General features: G+C 44.9%; 1 protein-coding gene across 8 annotated transcripts in view; it reads right to left on the reverse strand.

Moving 5' to 3' along the window:
* The window catches only part of NDRG3 (NDRG family member 3), a 94320-nt gene that overhangs the window by 57913 nt on the left and 14450 nt on the right, over nucleotides 1-21957 (reverse strand). For all 8 annotated transcript variants that reach the window (NR_038370.2, NM_022477.4, XM_011528927.4 and 5 more), the window contains exon 2: nucleotides 11996-12100. Coding sequence is in view for 7 of the 8 variants with exons in the window: in NM_022477.4 (NP_071922.2) it covers nucleotides 11996-12052 (57 nt within the window). In the remaining variant the exon portion in view is untranslated. The remainder of the gene's footprint in view (nucleotides 1-11995; nucleotides 12101-21957) is intronic.

A 21957-nucleotide genomic window follows, 5' to 3' on the forward strand; every position in this document is an offset into this window, starting at 1 on the left:
TGAGAAGCAAAAGAAAGGGTCCTCTCATGGATTAGGATAGATGGTTTTTGTAGGATATAAATGGCCAGCCAGTGAGTTTCTGGTTCCTGATTCAACTTGTACCTTCCTCCAAATATAGCACAGGGCCTGGTGTAAATCAGGTGCTTGATACAGATTTATAAAACAAATAAGCCAATATAAAAAAATTAAATGTTGAGGAAATTCTGTTAAAATTTTGGGTTAAAAAAAAAAACTTCTACTGCATTCCAGCTTAAGATATGTATGGTTAGTAAGAGGGAAAAGAAAGTAGGATACAAAATAGTCTTTACAGTTTGACCTTGGCTACATTAAAATATGCATTAAAAAAGACTAAAAGGCCGGGCACAGTGGCTCATGCCTATAATCCTATCACTTTGGGAGGCTGAGGCAGGCAGATCACTTGAGCTCAGGAGTTCAAGACCAGCCTAGGCAACATGGCGAAATCCCATCTCTATAAAAAATGCAAAAAAAAATTAGCTGAGCGTGGTAGTGCATGCTTATAGTCCCAGCTACTTGAGGGGCTGAGGTGGGAGGATCACTTGAGCCCAGGAGGTCAAGGCTGCAGTGAGCCGAGATCGCACCACTGCACTCCAGCCTGGGTGCAAAGTGAGATCCTGTCTCATAAATAAATAAACAAATAAAAGACAAAAACATTAACAATAGCAGCTGCTTCTGCAGAGAGAGGTTATGGGTGATTATAATTTTCTTCATATTATGTACAATGAGCATGTATTTCCCTTTCTGAAATTAGAAAACTAGAAAAAAAGGGTCTAGAAAACCCTAAAAAAATACCCAATTTAGTATTTTGTAATATAAGATTTAAAGGGCCAGGTGCGTTGGCTCATGCCTGTAATCCCAGCACTTTGGGAAGCCGAGGCGGATAGATCATGAGGTCAGGAGTTCAAGATAGGATTGGCCAATATGGTGAAACACTGTCTCTACTAAAAATACAAAAATTAGCTGGGCATGGTGGCACGTGCCTGTAATCCCAGCTACTCGGGAGGCTGAGGCAGGAGAACTGCTTGAACCGGGACCCGGGTGGCGGAGGTTGCAGTGAGCTGAGATCGTGCCACTGCACTCCAGCCTGGGCTACAGAGTGAGACTCCGTCTCAAAAAAAAAAAAAAAAAGTCAGTCAGGCATGGTGGAGCGTGCCTGTAGTCCCATCTACTTGGGAGGCTCAGGCAGGAGAATCACTTGAACCTGGGAGGTAGAGGTTGCAGTGGGCTGAGACGGCGCCACTGCACTCCAGCCTGGGCAACAGAGCAAGACTCCATCTCAAAAAAATAAATAAATAAGGGCCAGGCGTGGTGGCTCACCCGTATAATCCCAGCACTTTGGGAGTCCGGGGCGGGTGGATCACGAGGTCAAGAGATCAAGACCATCCTGTGTAACACGGTGAAACCCCATCTCTACTAAAAAAAAAAAAAAAAATAGCCGGGCGTGGTGGCAGGCGCCTGTAGTCCCAGCTACTCACGAGGCTGAGGCAGAATGGTGTGAACCCGGGAGGCGGAGCTTGCAGTGAGCAGAGATCACGCCACTGCACTCCAGCCTGGGCGACAGTGCGAGACTCCGTCTCAAAAAAAAAATAATAATAATAAATAAATAAATAAATAAATACAAAAATGTAAAGATTGACCTAACCTTTTAAGGAATGATTTATAATGATGCCTAAACAGACCATATTAGGGCTTCAATCTAACAGAATTCCCAAAGGTTCCTTTAGGGATTATTTTAAGATTAGAAAAAATCACTCTAGATTGAATTAAAATCTCATAGAATATAGAGCCACAAATTCTGACGAGCTCTTTGGGAAGCAGCTGTCATTGTATCCATGAATTCTCCCTTCTTACAATGATGTGACCATGACCATGAGGCATTCTGTAAAGCCCTCGGTCCCTGACATGAGCACAAAGGGGCATGCCAAAAGCAGAAAGCCAATGCCCTCAAGAACCTCAAGCTATGTCTTATTTGTTGAGTACCGAGCAAAAAACAACTCTGTGTTCTCAATCCCATGTTCCTAGCTATACTCCCAGATAAAAGGTACCAATAACTGAGTGAAGACTATTTAGCACTTGTTTTCCTGGCTGTTTTTTTGAGACGGAGTCTCGCTTTGTCGCCCAGGCTGCAGTTGCAGTGGCACGATCTTGGCTCACTGCAAGCTCCGCCTCCTGGGTTCACGCCATTCTCCTGCCTCAGCCTCCCAAGCAGCTGGGACTATAGGCACCCGCCACTGCGCCCGGCTAATTTTTTGTATTTTTAGTAGAGACGGGGTTTCACCATGTTAGCCAGGATGGTCTCGATCTCCTGACCTCGTGATCTGCCCACCTCGGTCTCCAAAGTGCTGGGATTACAGGGGATTACAGGTGTGAGCCACCGCACCTGGTTGTTTTTTTGTTTTTTTTGTTGTTGTTTTTTTTTGAGAGCGATCCCAGACCCTCTTGAAGAATGGCTTCTAGCTTCATGAGTAATCACCCTGGAAAATGGGAATGACTGGGTCTATTTGACAGTAACTGGCTCCAGAGTTTCTGAATGGGGATCATTAGCTGGTCCTTCACTCAACTGTGATTAACTGAGGCCATATTATTTATTCTCTGTACTCATTAAAAGTTCAGTACTGCTCATTGGGGGCATTCTAAAAGGCTGAGTACCTTCTGGGGCCCTTCCCTAGAGACTTGTTTCTTTTTCTTTTTCTTTTTTTTTTTTTTTTTCCTGAGATAGGGTCTCGCTCTGTCAGCCAGCCTGGAATGCAGTCGCATGATCACAACTCACTGCAGCATTGACCTCCCAGGCTCAAACGATCCTCCTGCTTCAGCCACTTGAGTAGCTGGGACTACTGGCATGTGCCACCATGCCCGGCTATATATATATATATATATATATATATATTTTTTTTTTTTTTTTTTTTTTTTTTGAGACGGAGTCTTGATCTGCTGCCCAGGCTGGAGTGCAGCGGCATAATCTCCATTCACTGCAACCTCCGCCTGCCAAGTTCCATCGATTCTCCTGCCACAGCCTCCAGAGTAGCTGGGATTACAGGCACACGCCACCATAACTGGCTCATTTTTGTAGTTTTAATAGGGACAGGGTTTCACCATGTTGCCCAGGGTGGTCTCCAACTTCTGGGCTCAAGCAATCTGCCCACCTTGGCCTCCCAAAGTGTTGAGATTACAGGCGTGAGCCACTGCACCTGCCCTGTTTCTTTTTCCTTCTGAGACAGAGTCTTGCTTTGTCACCCAGGCTGGAGTTGCAGTGGCATGATCATAGCTCAGTGCAGCCTTGACCTCTGGGCTCAAGCAATCCTCCTGCCTCAGTTTGTTTGTCTCTGATGTTCACAGTATATGGTTCCACTCTAACAAAACTTCTAGAAATTTCAGGCTATGGGTGCTTTCTTTTTTTCTGTCCATTTTGAAGATGCCATTAATTCCATATTCAGAGAAATTCTTACACTAAGCAGACTTAAGCAGCAGAAAGGGATTCAAGGAAAAAATTAAAACAACAGAATAATTTGAAGAGGAAAAAAATCAAGGAAAGCCATTAATTATTACTGAAAGTTGCAGTCAAAGTAGAAGCCAGCTAAGAGGAATGTTTTCTGATGGAGCTTAGTGGCCATATGTAAAAGGTAAATAAAGCAACCCAAGAAGGTAAATTAAAGCAAGCAAGCCTCACAGTTACAAGCTTAGAGAATAAGCAAAAAGAAACTAGGAACGGGTCAATGATTAAAGTGAATTATGAAAAAAAAGGGGGGTGTGAAAAGCAGAAATGTTTCAAAAACAAGTCATTGCTAGGGAGAAGAGAGATGTAGTTTCCTAACATGAGATCTGGTCAAAAGGCATCAATAGTTTCAAAAGACAGAAGCAACAGACATAATGTAAAGAAAGATGAGATAGTTGAAAGATGAGATAGATAAGACCTTAGACCAACTATCAATAGAAAGAGATTTTGGGTGAATTTACCTGTTCTGTGAATTTAAAGGAAAGGTCCATTTCTGATTCACCATTCTATTCCTGGTCCTGACACTTAATGAGTGCAATAAACATCATTTTGTAGAGGTTATGAACCTCTCAAAATAGAGATACTTGATTTGAGGAAGAAACGAATACCAAAGAGGAAAGGTTACACGTAATTGACATGCTAGGGACTAAAGTGGAGAAAATGAGTTGGTGCAATAGTAAAAGCTTTTAGAAATAAGCTGATAAAAAACTGTTAAAGAGAATAAAATATGACTTTGTATTAAAAAGCCATACACAAAAAAGATAATCCTTCCCTACAAAAAGTGGAAACAAAGATGGGGGATTGTACAAGCAAGAAGAGTTACATATGCTCAGAAAATACTCAGTTTTTCTTTAATAATAAAGATTCATATAATCAACTAGTATAATAAATCGGTGTATTAAAATCATCAGCAGGGCCGTGCGCGGTGGCTCATGCCTGTAATCCCAGCACTCTGAGAGGCTGAGGCAGGTGGATCATGAGATCAGGAGTTCGAGACCAGCCTGCCAAGAGACCAGCCTGGCCAAGATGGTGAAACCCCATCTCTACTAAAAATACAAAAATTAGCAGGGCGTGGTGGTGGGCACCTATAATCCCAGCTACTCGGGAGGCTGAGGCAGGAGAATTGCTTGAACTGGGGAGGCAGAGGTTGCAGTGAGCCGAGACCACATCATTGCACTCCAGCCTGGGCAACAGAGCAAGACTCCAACTCAAAAAAAAAAAAAAAAATCTTCAGCAAATCATTTTCTTCTTTTTTTTTTTTTTTTAGACAGAGTTTCGCTCTTGTTGCCCAGGCTGGAGTGCAATAGCGCGATCTCGACTCAGAGCAACCTCCGCCTCCTGGGTTCAAGCCATTCTCCTGCCTCAGCCTCCAGAGTAGCTGTGGCATGTGCCATCATGCCTGGCTAATTTTGTTTTTTTTTGTTTGTTTGTTTTTTTGAGACGGAGTCTTGCTCTGTCGCCCAGGCTGGAGTGCAGTGGTGCAATCTCGGCTTATTGTAAGCTCCACCTCCCAGGTTCACGCCATTCTCCTGCCTCAGCCTCCCAAGTAGCTGGGACTACAGGCACGTGCCACCACGCCCGGCTAATTTTTTATTTTTAGTAGAGACGGAGTTTCTCCATGTTGGTAAGGCTGGTCTCGAACTCCCGACCTCAGGTGATCCGCCTGCCTTGGCTTCCCAAAGTGCTGGGATTACAGGCATGAGCCACCGCGCCAGGCCCAGCAAATTGTTTTCAAGTAGAAATCTGTTCAAACTGATAATCCAGGGATAAGAATGAAAATCCTATATCTGTGTGTGTGTGTGTGTGTGTGTGTATATATATATATATATATATATATATATATATATATATATATATATATTATATTTAAGTATCTATAGCAATCATTACCTTCAAAATATACTAAGAAACAGACTTCATAAAGAAATTTATAAAGAGGTTGGATACTTGGATAAAACTATCTACAATCAGATAATCCTCTGCAGATTGCTGAAAAAGTACAATTTCCACTCTAAAAATCCCATGGGCACTCTGCTAAGGTGTGGCTAAGATGTGGATCTCTTGCCTCCTGTAACTGGTTGAGGGTCATCTGGTCTGTAACGGTGGCATCACTACCTGCTTCGGAACCCATTTCTTGCTGCAGTCCCGTCTAGAGCACTTCTGACAACAGATGTAACCATCATGTCTTAGTACATTAAGGGACACCCACTCTAGTCCACACTAGATGTAGCACTTCATGAATATTCTTTGATGAAAATGTCAATAAATCTATTTTTAATTACAGCTGTTTCTTCTTTTCTCTCTCTCCCCCTAGGTTTTTTTTTTTTTTAAACAACCTTGGAGCTGGGTGCGGTAGCTCATGCCTATAATACCAGCACTTTGGGAGGCCGAGGCAGGAGGATTGCTTGAGCTCAGGAGTTTGAGATCAGCGTGGGCAACAAAGTGAGACCTCTTCTCTACAAATAACTTAAAAATTGGCCAGGCATGGTGGGCACACCTGTGGTCCCAACTACTTGGGAGGCTAAGGTAGCCTCCCAAGTAGGTGGGAATTGCTTGAACCCAGGTGGTAGAGACTGCAGCAAGCCATGGCCATGCCACTGTACTCTAACCTGGATGACAGAGACCCTGTCTCAAATAAAAAAAAGATCCTGGGGCCAGGCACAGTGGCTCACGCCTGTAATCCCAGCACTTTGGGAGGCCGAGATGGGTGGATGGCTTGAGCCCCAGAGTTTCAACATGGCAAAGCTCCGTCTCTAAAAAAATACAAAACGTAGCCAGGCATGGTGGCAAGAGCTACTCAGGAGGCTGAGGCAGGAGAATCACTTGAGCCCAGGAGGCTGCAATAAGCCATGATTGTGCCACTGGACTCCAGCCTGGGCAACAGAGCAAGCCCTTGGCATAAACGCTTTGGCTGTCTCTGTTGTCCTGGAGGTTACAAAATGTTGTTCCCAGGGTTCTCCCTCCTCTAGTTCTAACACCCTCCTCCCTCCTCTGCTTACATGTTGTGATTAGTAGAAAAGGAAAACTTAAACTGCAGTAAGATTTACCTCACTTTCAGGTGGGTGCGGTGGCTCATGCCTGTAATCCCAGCACTTTGGGAGGCCGAGGCGGACGGATCACTTGAAGTCAGGAGTTCAAGACCAGCCTGGCCAACATGGCAAAACCCCATCTCTACTAAAAATACAAAAACTAGCTGAACATGGTGGCAGGTACCTATAATCCCAGCTACTTGGGAGGCTGAGGCAGAAGAATCACTTGAACCTGGGAGGCAGAGGTTGCAGTGAGCCGAGATCATGCCACTGCACTCCAGCCTGGGCAACAGAGCGAGACTCCATCTCAAAAAAAAAAAAAAAAAGATTTACCTCACTTTCTACTGTAACAACCAAAACAAAGTATATAACTTTTTTCTGTTCTCTCTACTAAACATTTATTCCCCTTTCTGCTATTTCCTCAATTCTTCAGAAGCCAAGTGTGGCCTTCTACTTGTTTTCTCAAGCCTCACCTTTGGCTTTCACAGGGTTCAGTAGTATCTGAACCTAGTAGGTAGAGGAAGGCAGGGAAAATGAGGCAAAACAGTCTACTCTCCTGTTTATTACAAGGTCTTTTGGGTGAGGAGCCTGGAACAACCAGGTACAAGAGGCAGTAGATGGTGGGAAGAACCCTAGACCCCCAGGTCCAGGTCAAAGTCAAAAGATGTAGGTTCTAGCCTGGCTTCACCAACTTAACAGACACTAGCTCTGAACAAATCAGATAACCTCTCAGTGTCATCTGTAAAATAGAGTTAAAATATCTTCAACTATTTACAAGAGACTGGAAGATTAAAATAAGATATTATTGGTGAAAGTGCTCTGAAAATAGTTAAATGCTATTTTAAAAATCATTTCATATGCCCATGCAATTTCTGTCCCGCAAAACAAAGTACTGGTGGTTGCTTCTTTTCATCACTAGAGCCAAAACAAGTATGACAAAATTATCCACTTCTTGACAATTCTGAGCCGTAGACAAAATTACAGGCATACTAAAATAAAATGGGAAAAGTACCAACAAATGACAAGAGACAACATAAGCCTTGCTCAAAGCTATATTGAGAATGCCTCCTTACAAGTCATCTCAGGACAAATTTCACGGTAAAAGGTTGGTTCTAGTCTTCCTTTAGCTTCCTGAAGCCTGGAGGATGCAGCAATGTCTTCAGTATATTTATGAGAATAATGGACAGAAGGATAAGGTGAAATACTACACATTTTTAGGCTTCTCCTTAAAGAGACAGGGTAAGCCACAAAGGTGATGCCAAAACATCTATAGGATTAACACAGTGGAAACAGCTCAGGTTTTAAGAGTAGGAAAGACTTTGGTTTCTGTCTGGCTTTGCCACTTCTTTACTGGGCAAACCAGCCTTTCATTCGGATTTTTAATCTGTGAAGTAGGAATAATACTATCTATCTCAAAGGGATATTCTGAGAGAGAGAATGTATGTAAAGCACTTGGCACATAAGAGATAATAAATCATAGCAGGACAGGCAAAAACAACAACAACAAAACCCTCAAGCCATCTACTTCTATGCAAATCTGAAGGCTTTTCCTCTATACCAGTGGTTCTTAACCAAGGAAATTTTGCCTCCCAGGGACATCTGGCAATGTCTGGAGACATTTTTGGTTGTCACCACTGGGGAGTGCTATTAGCATCTAGTGGGTAGAGGCCAAAGATGCTGCTAAACATTCTACAATGCACAGAGCAGTGTTCCACAACAAACAATTATCCAACCCAAAACATCGACAGTGAGAAATCCTGCCATACAGCAGGCATTCTTTGATACTCAATAGGAGTAAGCTACTTCACCTTTCCTAGCCTTCGTTTACTCACTGGCAATGTGGGAATACATTTATCTGTGCTCCTTCCTCATCAAGCTATTGGGAGGTTCAAATGAAGTAATGGATGAGAGGCATTATTATCATTATACCTTTTACTATATACACAAAACCATCCACTTGCTGCGCAAAGACAGAAGCATTCACATACTGGGGAGGGGGAGAGGGAGGCTAACGGGGTGGAAGTCTTTGTTTGGAGGTGCCATGATCTAAAGAGGGCCTCTTGCCTATCTACCTGCTTGGCGAGAGCCAAGAGAGTTCTCATGAATAGTGATGGCACAGGAGCACTTACGTCTCAGGGAGAGAAAGGAGTAAGGTGGAATGTGGGAAGTGGGTAGGAACAGCATAGGCCTATCAAAGAGGAGCAGATAGATGTTAGGAAGTGAGACACTGCTTTGTGTCTTAGTCTACTCGGGCTGTCATAACAAAATAACATAGACTTGATGGCTTAAAACAACAGAAATTTATTTTCTCACAGTTCTGAAGGCTGCAAAGTTCAAGATTAAGGTTCTAGAAGGGTTCAGTTTCTCATGATTAATCTCTTCCTGGTTTGTGGACAGCTGCCTTCTTGCTGTGTCCCCATATGGCAGGGGAAGGGAGAGAGAAAGAGAGCCTCTTTCTCTATTTATTTATTTTCTGAGACAGGGTCTCACTCTGTTGCCCAGGCTGGAGTGCAGTGGCACAATCACAGCTCACTGCAGCCTCAACCTCCCAGGCTCAAGTGATCCTCGCAGCTCAGCCTCCCAAGTAGCTGGGACTACAGGCATCTGCCACCACACCTGGATCATTTTTTTAATTTTTTGGTAGACAGGATCTCCCTTTGTTGCCCAGGCTGGTCTTGAACTTCTGGCTTCAGGTGATCCTCCAGCATCAGCCTCCCAAAGTGCTTGGATTATAGGTGTGAGCCAGGTTATAGGTGTGTGCCTGGCTCAGATTTTATTTCCTTCCTCCTCTCCTAGGCACAACATTTTTGGCACAGCCCTTCACATACACACATACACAAATGGTACTTAAAGGAGAGAGTTTTCTGGAAATATGAGGGGATGCAGCAGGAGAAACCAAATGGAGGTTAAAAAAGCGTGCAGTGGCCGGGCGTGGAAGTTCACGCCTGTAATCCCAGCACTTTTGGAGGCCGAGGCGGGTGGATCAAGAGGTCAAGAGATCGAGACCATCCTGGCCAACATGGTGAAACCCCATCTCTAGTCAAAATACAAAAATTAGCTGGGCATGGTGTTGCACACCTGTAGTCCCAGCTACTTGGGAGGCTGAAGCAGGAGAATCGCTTGAACCCGGGAGGCAGAGGTTGCAGTGAGCCAAGATCACGCCACTGCACTCGAGCCTGGTGACAGAGCAAGACTCCGTTTCAAAAAAAAAAAAAAAAAAAGCCTGCAGCTTGCCAAGGGAGAGAGAAGTCTGGTGAAAGATAAAAGAAGGGGTGGGAGTGGGAATGGAGAGGTCACAGGGATGAAAATAGGGGTGGCAGGATTCAAAAGCAAATTAGTAAGCACAAAATAAGTCAGCAGCTCCAGAGGCTGCAGGTGAAGGGCCTTGCCTTGGGCAGATAAAAAGTAATAAGCAACAGATCATCCCCTGGTGTCACCCGCACACCCCCCCTCCCCGCCCCTCCGCCCATCCATCTTTATCCTCACACTCCGTCAACACTCCCTCAGGAAAGGATGGCATGGCCTCACTCACACAAAGCTACAAGAGTATTTCAAGAGGGGACAATGACAATACACCAAAAGAATAGAGTGGAAAAGAAGGAATTTCAAGCAGCTGGGCATGGTGGCTCATGCCTGTAATCCCAGCACTTTAGGAGGCCAAGGCAGGTAGATCACAAGGTCAGGAGTTCGAGACCAGCCTGACCAACATGGTGAAACCCTGTCTCTACTAAAAATACAAAAATTAGCCAGGTGCACGCCTGTAATCCCAGCCACTCCGGAGGCTGAGGCAGAAGAATCACTTGAAACCGGGAGGCGGAGCTTGCAGTGAGCCGAGATTGTACCACTGCACTCCAGCCTGGGTGACAGAGTGAGACTCCGTCTCAAAAAAAAAAAAAGAAGGAATTTCAGGCACATTTACCGAACAATAAGGAACAAGAGAGAAAACAAAACTTCTTTTCTTTTTTTTGAGCCAGAGTTTTGCTCTGTCGCCCAGGCTGGAGTGCAGTGGCATGATCTCGGCTCACTGCATCCTCTGCCTTCCGGGTTCAAGTGATTCTCCTGCCTCAGCCTCCTGAGTAGCTGGGACTACAGGCCTGCACCACCACGCCCAGCTAATTTTTGTATTTTTAGTAGAGATGGAATTTCACCATGTTGGCGAGGCTGATCTCAAACTCCTGACCTCAAGTGATCCGTCAGCCTTGGCCTCCCAAAGTGCTGGGATTACAGGCATAAGCCACTGCACCTGGCCAAAACCTTTCTTTTGGTAAATCATATCACACCAGTGTCTAGTGGTCATCAACTGTGGTCTCATCTGCTCCTTGTGTAGTTCTCTGACACTAACATAAAAATGTGGTATATTACTGACATCCAGTCCTCCCTGATGTCATATTGACAGAAAGACCACATCATAGACTTGGCAAACTTCAGGGAGAACACTGCAGCCTACGCACATCACCAGCCATGGATGGTAAATTTTCCTTATTGAAACTGAAAGTCAAGACACTTGGATTCTGAGTCAAACTCCACCCTCATACTTCTTTTTTCTTTTCTTTTTTTTTTTTTTTGAGACAGAGTCTCACTGAGTCACCCAGACTGGGGTGCAGTGGCGCAGTCTTGGCTCACTGCAACCTCCACTCCACCTCCTGGGTTCTAGCAATTCTCCTGCCTCAGCCTCCCGAGTAGCTGGGATTACAGGTGTGTGCCACCACACCTAGCTAATTTTTCTATTTATAGTAGAGACAAGGTTTCACCTTGTTGTCCAGGCTGGTCTCAAACTCCTGACCTCAAGTGATCCACCTGCCTTGGCCTCCCAAAGTGCTGGGATTACAGGTGTGAGCCACTGCGCCCAGCCCCACCCTCATGCTTTCTGCTTAACATTGCCACATTATTTTTTCCCTTAGCATCTCTATCTGTAAAATACAAAAATCTCAAAGATAACGTGATTGAACGTGGCTCATGGAAACAAAAGTAGGAAGAAATAAAAGGGGGGAAACATCAAAAAGATGCTTAAGAAATAGATTTTTTGGCCTGGCACAGTGGCTCACACCTGTAATCCCAGTACTTTGGGAGGCCATGGCGGGAGGATCACGAGGTCAGGAGATCGAGACCATCCTGGCCAACATGATGAAACCCTGTCTCTACTAAAAATACAAAAATTAGCTGGGCGTGATGACACGTGCCTGTAATCTCAGCTACTTGGGAGGCTGAGGCAAGAGAATTGCTTGAACCAGGGAGTCAGAGGTTGCAGTGAGCCGAGATTGCACCACCGCACTCCAGCCTGGCAACAGAGTGAGACACCGTCTCAAAAAAAAAAAGAAATAGATTTTTAAAGTATTCCTTTCATTGAAAGTCAAGCTAAATATGTTTTAAGTTACTATTTAGATGATACAGAAAATGAAATACTATCAGAAGAAAAGGCTTGTCCATATTTTAGTGAAAACAGAAAAGTCTTTACCTTATCATTTAGAAGTGGTTTGATCTCTGTGAGCTGAACATCCTGAAGTTCATCCATGAGGTCAGATAACGAGAGTAGAGGAATCTCAAGAATAAATCAGTAACTCTGAAACAGAAAAGAAAGAAGTGAAGAAAAAGGCTTAAGCCAGAAGTTGGAAACATAATAGTCACAGTACACCCATTCATTCAAATATGAGACTTACTCTGTGCCATGCCCTGCTCAGGGTGCTAAAGACACATAGTTACGGCAGATAGACACTAACCTGGTCTATAGGATTCTTGCCTCCTGGTATTCACATCCTTGCCTAATACCCCCAGTGAGTGTGCGCAGGGCCTGTGGCTTGCTTTTAACCATTAGAATACGGCAAAAGTGATGGAATGTACATGAGTGACTTTGCATGATTACATTATATAATATTTTCACATCTGTCTTGCTGAGGGACACTCTCCCCTGCTAGGTCTGAAGAGGCAAGCTGATGTGCTGTGAGAGGGCCACGTAACAAGTAACTGAGAGCAGCCTCCAGCAGAAAGACAGCAAGAAACTGAGACCTTCAGTTCAACAATCTGCAAGGAACTGAATGCTGCCAACAACAGGAGCCTGGAAGCAGATCCTTCCCCAGCTGAGTGTCAGAGAAGAAGCTGACCGACACCTTGATCGCCATGTTGCAGAGGACCTACACAGCCCACACCAGACTCCTGAACCACAGAAACTGAGAGACAATGAATATGTGTTGTTTTAGGCTACTACATTTGCGGTAATATTTTTATGCAGCAACAGATTAATACAATTAATACAATAGTCTTTGCTCTCATGGAGCACACGTTTTAGTTACTGAAGACGGATAAAGAAACAACATACTCAAAACTATGCTTGGAACAGACTGGAAGACGGATTAAGCGGGGACAAAAATTGAAGATTATTACTGCAGGATGAGGACTTGAATTAGGAATGGCAGTGGGAATGAAAGAGGAGGGAACCAAGGCTAAGCTTACTAATCCTCATTTGGGGAATCACAGCAGTGGGTGAAAGGTATGGTAGTCAGCTCCAAGATGGCCTTCAACGAGCCCAGTGATCCCTGACTCCTGATATTCATTCACACATATGTATAATCGCCCACCCAAATAAATCAGGGATGGCTCGTGTAACTAATAGAATATGGAGGAAGCAACAATATGTGACTTCTGAAGCTGCATCATAAAACGCATTACACTTTGTGCTTCAAGACACTATAAACTACTAGTTCTAGGGGAAGCTAGCTGCCAAATCATCAGGACACTCAAACAGCCCTCTGGCGAGGCCCATGTGGAGAGGAACCAACTTGCCAGCACCAACCTGCTAGCCATGTGTGTGAGTTACCTTGCAAATGAATCCTCCAGCCCCAGTCAAGAGTTCGGATAGCTACAGCCCCAGGGACACCTGACTGCAACCACATGAGAGACTCTAAGTCAGAACCACCCTACCAAGCCTGCTCCCAAGTTTCTGACCCACAGAAACCATGAGAGATAATAATTTTGTTTTAGAGTGATCTATAGCAATAGAGAACTAATACATAGGGAGAGCAGAATGGGGAGCTCAGAGAGAGGAGACAAGTTGGAGAGAGGTAGGCAGGGTAATGAACTACAAATTCTTCTTCTATCTCACCATGCAAGAAGCCATGGGGATAGGCTGCAAATACTCAATATTGCAGGAAAGTGATTCCCACCTAGACTTCAAAGCTTCAGGCATCATCCTTTTTGTCTTGGCCCTAAACCTATCAAGTCAGGAAAAATGTTAATTCAGAGTTGGGGATTTACATTTAACAACCATTTATTGAGTACCCATTGCACTATGGAAGATACAAAAAGGGTCCCTGCCTCTAAAGAGTAGAGATGATGTTGATCTACAAATTGATAAATAAAAAGAAGGGCCATAGGAATTCAAAGGAGAAGCAATTATGTCTGATTGGTGGAAATCAAGAAAGCCTTCAAAAGATATTAGTCTAGTGTGTGTGTGTGTGTGTGTGTGTGTGTGTGTGTGTGTGTCTGGTGTTTTTGTTTTTTTTTTTTTGAGACCTAGTCTTGCTCTGTCACCCAGGCTGGAGTGCAGTGGCACAATCGTGGTTCACTGGAACCTCCGCCTCCTGGGCTCAAGCGATTCTCGTGCCTCAGTCTCCCGAGAAGCTGGGACTATGGGCACCTGCTACCATGCCCAGCTAATTTTTGTATTTTTAGTAGAGACAGGGTTTCACCATGTTAGCCCGGCTGGTCTTGAACTCCTGCCTTCAAGTGATCCACACACCTCAGCCTCCCAAAGTGTTAGGATCACAGGCGTGAGCCACTGCGCCCGGCCTAGTGTACTATATTAATCCACTTTTCTGTTTACCTTCTAGAGATAGAATGACATGATTTTGATTTAATTACCTATGGAGAGGGTATGTGTTCCAGGCTACCTTTTAGCTATTATTTGCCAACACACTGAAATAAATCCTGCTCCCAGCTATGCCTATGTTAGAACAGACTAACAAAAAAGCCCTCTTATCATTTATTCAAGGGACTCAGAGGATGTCTATTGAGAACACTCCTCAGGCTATGAACCCCACATGCTAACTGTGAATATTCCAAAAGTGTGAACCACCTAGAGACCACAAATTTGATGATGTTTAACCTCCCTATAGGACAGTGGTTCTTTTGTCAGATCGCAGGCACCCATATACTTGATTGAGCTACTTAATGCCCAGAAGTTGAATCTTTTTTTGTTTTTATACCAGTCACATTTCAAAAGGGGGTGAGGTGGCTTGACTCTTAAACAGTGAGTTTCAGCCAGCATCTACATTCTCTTTTTCACAGTCCCCACTTAACTCTTAAAATATTGGCCTAACTGGAATCTACTCCATGTTTGTTTATTAATAACACTACAAACTGTGGCTACTTTTTATTTGAACTTTACTATTTATCAGTTATTTTAAATGGCAATTTAAAAGCGTTTTCCGGCCGGGCCCGGTGGCTCGCACCTGTAATCCCAGCACTTTGGGAGGCGGAGATGGATGGATCACCTGAGGTCAGGAGTTCGAGACCAGCCTGGTCAACATGGTGAAACCCCATTTCTACTAAAAGTACAAAGATTAGCTGGGTGTGGTGGCACACGCCTGTAATTCCAGCTACTCCAGCAGGCTGAGGCACGAGAATCATTTGAACCCAGGAGGCGGAGGTTGCAGTGAGCCAAGATCTGTCAACTGTACTCCAGCCTGGGCAACAGAACAAGACTCTGTCTCAAAAATTTAAAAACAAAACAAAACAAAACCAGCTTTTTCCCTTTTATAAAAGCAATATGTGCTCACTTTAGAAAATATGAAAATCGGCCGGGCGCAGTGGCTCACGCCTGTAATCCCAGCACTTTGGGAGGCCGAGGCAGGTGGATCATTTGAGGTCAGGTGTTCAAGACCAGCCTGGCCAACATGGAGAAACCCCATCTCTACTAAAAATAAAAAAAATTAGACAGGTGTGGTGGTGCACGCCTGTAATCCCAGCTACTCAGGAGGCTGAGGCAGGAGAATTGCTTGATCCTTGGAGGTGGAGGTTGCAGTAAGCTGAGATTGCGCCACCGCACTCCAGCCTGGGCGACAGAGTGAGACCCTGTCTCAAAAAACAGAAAAGAAGAAAATATGGAAATTGGCCGGGAATGGTGGCTCACGCCTGTAATCCCAGCACGCTGGGAGGCCAAGGTGGGTGGATCACCTGAGGTTCGAGACCAGTCTGGACAACATGGTGAAACCCTGTCTCTACTAACAATACAAAAATTAGCTGGGTGTGGTGGCAAGCTCTGTAATCTCAGCTACTCGGGAGGCTGAGGCAGGAGAATCGCTTGAGCCTGGGAGGCAGAAGTTGCAGTGAGCTGAGATCGCACCACTGCACTCCAGCCTGGGTGACAGAATGAGACTCCGTCTAAAAAAAAAAAAAAAAAAGAAAAAAAAGAAAATACAGAAATCACAGAATAATGAACAGATAATTTACTCATTGTCCTTCCACCTAAAGAAAACCATTTTAGCCTATTTCCACTTGTTTTTCTTTTTCCCACTTAAATGGTGATTTCCTGAAATTGTTTTTTCAACTCACCCACTTTATCCCTACTTTAATTCACTCACTGGAAAGCAATGCACTTCAAGATGGGAATTATTCAAATATGACTCCACATGGGTGGGCCTGTCAAAGGGTCAGAGAGAGGCCTAAGGTGCCCTCAAGTCCAAAGTGACTGGCATTCACCTAGTGTTCCTTTTTTTTTTTTTTTTTTTTGAGATGGGGTCTTACTCTTTCACCTAGGCTGGAGTGCAGTGGCACAATCATGGCTCTCAACCTCCCAGCCTCAAGCAATCCTCCCACCCCAGCCTCTCACACAGCTGAGACAATGGGCATGTGCCACCATGCCTTGCTAACTTAAAAAACATTTTTTTTAGAGACAGGAGTTTCACTATGTTGTCCAGACTACTCTTGAACTCCTAGACTCAAGCAATCCCCCTGCCTTGGCTTCCCAAAGTGCGGGATTACAGGTGTGAGCCACCATACCCATCCCTAAGTATTTTTTTAAAGATGAAGAAAAATGCAATTTTTACACCAACAAACACTTAAACAAAGACACAAATTAAATGAGAAGGCTGTCCCTATCAGCTAGGCCCAATGCAGGCTCAGGCGACAATGTTGTGCAGGACAGTAAGCTGCTCCAGGGTGACTCAGGATTTGGCAACTTGGCAGTAGACATTCACCTTCCACTATTAGGGGATCTAATGCATTCTTCTGGAGACTCCATTTTTGCTCCGCTTTCAATGTCTCAAGCCCTTGCCAATGAGCAGTTTTATAACATATACAAGAAAACTAAGATTCTGGTGGAAAACTCCATCTCCAGATCCCTCAGCTGCACAGACGGGCTCCCTCCTGGGGATCCAAGGCCTGCAGTTCCGGCATCTGTACAAATGGTATGGCTGCCAGATCCCATACAGGTACTAAAAGCTATTAATATTTTCAAAAGGCAAGTAGGGATTTTATAAATTGCAGTCAATAATTTTTGCCTGTTTCCTAGTCATATGAGTAGGAGGGAGGATTGATAAGGAAAAACTAGCCATCTTCAAATTAAGGAAATGAATCTGATACCAAATGGCTAGAAAGGGAAAGGAGAAAAGGTGGCTACCTACTCTGTCAGGAATTATAATCTCGGCACCTTATGTTTAATCCTCATAACAATCCTCTCTGGTAGATATCTTTCTTTCTTTTTTTTTTTTTTTTCCTGAGACAAGAGTCTTGCTCTGTTGCCCAGGCTGGAGCACAGTGGGGCGATCTTGGCTCACTGCAACTTCCGCCTCCCAGGTTCAAGTGATTCTCCTGCCTCAGCCTCCCAAGTAGCTGGGACTATAGGCGCATGCCTCCATGCCCAGCTAATTTTTGTATTTTTCAGTAAAGACAGGGCTTCCCTGTTAGCAAGGCTGGTCTCAAACTCCTGCCCTCAAGTAATCTGCCAGCTTCAGTCTCCCAAAGTGCTGGGATTACAAGTGTGAGCCACCCCGCCCAGCCTAGATATCTTTATTTTTTTCTCTGAGACAGAGTTTTACTCATCACATAGGCTGGAGTGCAGTGGCACGATCTCAGCTCACTGCAACCTCCGCCTCTTGGGTTCAAGCGATTCTCCTGCCTCAGCCTCCCGAGTAGCTGGGATTACAGGCATCTGCCACCAGGACCGGCTAATTTTTATATTTTTAGTAGAGACGGGGTTTCACCATGTTGGCCAGGCTGGTCTCGAACTCTTGACCTCAGGTAATCCGCCTGCTTTGGCCTCCCAAAGTGGTGGGATTACCAGCATGAGCCACCGCACCCAGCCTTTCTTTCTTTCTTTTTTCTTTTCTTTTCTTTTTTTTTTTTGAGACGGAGTCTCGCTCTGTCGCCCAGGCTGGAGTGCAGTGGCACATCTCAGCTCACTGCAAGCTCCGCCTCCTGGGTTCACGCCATTCTCCTGCCTCAGCCTCCTGAGTAGCTGGGACTACAGGCGCCCGCCACCACGCCCGGCTAATTTTTTGTATTTTTAGTAGAGACGGAGTTTCACCGTGTTAGCCAGGATGGTCTCGATCTCCTGACCTCGTGATCTGCCCTCCTCAGCCTCCCAAAGTGCTGGGATTACAGGCATGAGCCACCGTGCCCGGCCTATTTCTTTATAGATGAGAAATTTAGGCTCAGAGAAGTTAAGTAACTTCTAAAATCCCCACATCTAAGTAATAAAGAGCCAGGAGCGGTAGCATGCAACTATAGTGTCAGCTACTTGAAAGGCTAATGCAGGAGGATTGCTTCAGCCCAAGAGTTTGAGTCCAGCCTGGGCAACACAGCAAGACCCTGCCTCTAAATAAGTGAATAATAGGGAAAGGATTTTTTTTTTTTTGAGATGGAGTCTCGCTGTGTCGCCCAGGGTGGAGTGCAGTGGCACGATCTCGGCTCACTGCAAACTCCGCCTCCCAAGTTCACGCCATTCTCCTGCCTCAGCCTCCCGAGTAGCTGGGACTACAGGCACCTGCCACAACGCCCGGCTAATTTTTTTGTATTTTTAGTAGAGACGGGGTTTCACTGTTAACCAGGATGGTCTCGATCTCCTGACCTCGTGATCTACCTGCCTCAGCCTCCCAAAGTGCTGGGATTACAGGCGTGAGCCACTGCGCCCAGCCAGGGAAAGGATTTTAAAACCTTTGCTTTTCCCATTACAGGTTGAGCATCCCAAATTAAAAAATCTGAAATCCAAAATGCTCCAATGGATGCCTGGAAGAAGTGACAAAGGACAGATGGATAGACAGATGGATAGATAGATGGATGGATGGGTGGATGGATACATGGACACATACATACATAAACAAACTCCAGTGGGCATCTCCCTTGAACATCAAGTCTGTGCTCAAAAAGATTGGGGTTTTGGAGCATTTCAGATTTCACATTTTCAGATTTGGGATGCTTAAACGCTAGTAAGTATAATGCATATTGCAAAATCAGAAAAAATCCAAAATCTGAAACACATCTGGTTCAAGGCATTTTGGTTTTTTTGTTTTTTTGGGGGGGAGGTTTTGAGACAGAGTCTCACTCTGTCGCCCAGGCTGGAGTGCAGTGGCTCAATCGCGGCTCACTGCAACCTCCGCCTCCTGGGCTCAAGCGATTCTCCTGCCTCCATCTCCCAAGTAGCTGGGACTATAGGTGCCACCATGCCCAGCTAAGTTTTGTATTTTTAGTAGAGACAAGGTTTCACCATGTTGGCCAGGCTGGTCTCGAACTCCTGACCTCAGGTGATCCGCCGACCTCAGCCTCCCAAAGCGCTGGGATTACAGGTGTAAGCCACTGCTTCCAGGCTGTTCAAGGCATTTTGGATAAGGGATACTCAACTCATATACCATAATGTCTGTGCCAGGCCCCATCTACTGATTGTAGGACCCTGAGCAAGTTTTTTCCTCTTTACCCAGCCTGTGGCACCTCCTTGAGGTAAGAGAAGGCTAAAGCAATCCTATACATACCAACGACTCAGACACCTTAGAAATGAAGCTCTGAGTCATCACACCAGGACAAGAGCCCTCACTATCTCAGTAGTTATAACGCTAAGGGCATAGAGGATGTGGAATGAGTAGAGAAAAGAGAAATGAAGTTCCAGCTATTACTTGGCAAACAGTTTCAGAGGCAAGGGCTATTTCTTGCTTGTTAGAACAGCAAGCCTCAAAATCTATCACCTGGGAATCTTGTTTAGGATCTCAGATATGATCAGTTTTAAGTGATGAGAGTCTAACATGTGACCTCATCACTGAGGAGAGATGGAGATAATCTGAGGTGAGGAGATGAACTGAAAGCCTTCATTATTATTAGCAACAATCTTTTTTTTTTTTGAGACAGAGTTTGGCTCTGTCACCCAGGCTAGAGTGCAGTGGCACAATCTCGGCTACCTGCAACCTCTGTCTTCCAGGCTCAAGCCATTCTCTTACCTCACCCTTCCAAGTAGCTGGGACCACAGGCACACGCAACCACGCCTGGCTAATTTTTGTACGTTTTGTAGTGTCAGGGTTGCACTTTGTTGCCCAGGCTGGTCTCTAACTCCTGAGCTCAAGCGATCCACCCACGTCAGCCTCCCAAAGTGCTAGAATTACAGGCATGAGCCACCATGCCCAGCCAATTAGCAACAATCTTCAATAGAGATCAGTGAGGATGGGGTAAAGGAAGACTCCATTAATTTGATTTCGTCCTGCCTTCTTCCAAAATTTCAGTAAACTAGATGGAACTTTTATTTTTTATTTTTAAATGTTTTAGGGGCCGGGCACGGTGGCTCACGCCTGTAATCCCAGCACTTTAGGAGGCCAAGGCGGGCAGATCACCTGAGGTCAGGAGTTTGAGACCAGCCTGGCCAACGTGGTGAAACCTAGTGTCTACCAAAAATACAAAAATTAGCCGGGCATGATAGCACGTGCCTGTAATCCCAGCTACTCGGGAGGCAGAAGCAGGAGACGCGCTTGAACCTGGGAGGCAGAGGTTGCAGTGAGGTGAGATTGTGCCACTGCACTCCAGCCCGGGCGACAGAGCGAGACTCTGTCTCCAAAAAAAAAAAAAAATTGTTTTTTTGGAGACAGGGTCTTGCTTTGTCACTCGGCTGGAGTGCAGTGGCACCATCTTAGCTCACTGTAACCTTGAATTCCAATGGTCAAGCAATCCTCCCGCCTCAGCCTCCCAAAGAGCTAAGGACTACAGACATATACCACTATGCCTGGCTAATTTTTGTTTTTTGGTAGAAACAGGTCTTACTATGTTGCCCAGGCTAAGATGCGATTTTTTAAAGACTCAGCAGGTCCAATCAACTAAAATGTGAACATACTGGAGAAACAAAATAGTTTGCAGAAACCTCGCTGAAAGGTAACAAGGGTCTGTCAGGCTCCTGAAATTACGAAATGTGAAAAAAATAAAAAAAAAGGAGGGGGAGCTCTGGGATATAAAGTTGGTAAAAATAGCACAAGGTTGGCCAGGGCACAGTGGCTCATGCCTATAATCCTAGCACTGTGGGAGGCCGAGATGGGAGAATTATTTGAGGCCAGGAGTTCGAGACCAGCCTGGCCAATATGGTAGAACCCCGTCACTATTAACCAAACAAAAATTAGCCAGGCGTGGTGGTAATTCCAGCTACTTGGGAGGCTGAGGCATGAGAATCACTTAAAACTGGGAGGAGGAGGTTGGAGTGAGCCAAGATCGCGCCACTGCACTCCAGCCTGGGCAACAGAGGGAGATGCTGTCTCGAAAAAAAAAAAAAAAGAAAGAAAGAAAAAAAGTAGAACAAGGTCAGAGAAGAGTTAGATTTTGCCAAAGTTTTCAGTTGGGGAGATAAAAGAATTATGGAACAATGAATGGAAATTAGTGAGCTGAGAAAAAGTAACAGAGAAACTGATTTGTTAAAAAGAAAATCAATTTCAGTCAGGAATCCAAGAGAGACCTGAGCACAGGTGGGAGTGAGAATGAGTGAGGTAAGCCTCCAAACGACCACCAAACCAGAGATAAGGAGGTCTGTAGGCCTGGGCTCTTCTGAAGGACAACTCAGTGATGGAAAAGAAAGAACCAGTAAGAGACAAAGAAAAAATGTTCAGAGATGCTAGAGGAAAGGCAGAAATACAATGTCAAAGAATTCAAGGGAGAAGAGAGATTTACACAAAAGTGGAGGAAAACTGTCAAATGCTGAAGAAAAAAGGAGGAGGATGAAGACTATGAAAGGGCCATTAACTTTGGACAGTAAAAGTCAGTGGTGTTAAAATCTAGGAAAAATGAAGTTCAGTTCTCCATGCTGAAAAGCCCATGACTATGTACATCACTTTTTAGAAATATAGAAATTAGGCCAGGCGCGATGGGTCACACCCGTAATCCCAGCACTTTGGGAGGCCGAGGCGAGTGGATCACAAGGTCAGGAGATCGAGACCATCCTGGCTAACATGGTGAAACCCTGTCTCT

Source organism: Homo sapiens, chromosome 20 (assembly GCF_000001405.40).
Source record: "Homo sapiens chromosome 20, GRCh38.p14 Primary Assembly".
Taxonomy (NCBI): domain Eukaryota; kingdom Metazoa; phylum Chordata; class Mammalia; order Primates; family Hominidae; genus Homo; species Homo sapiens.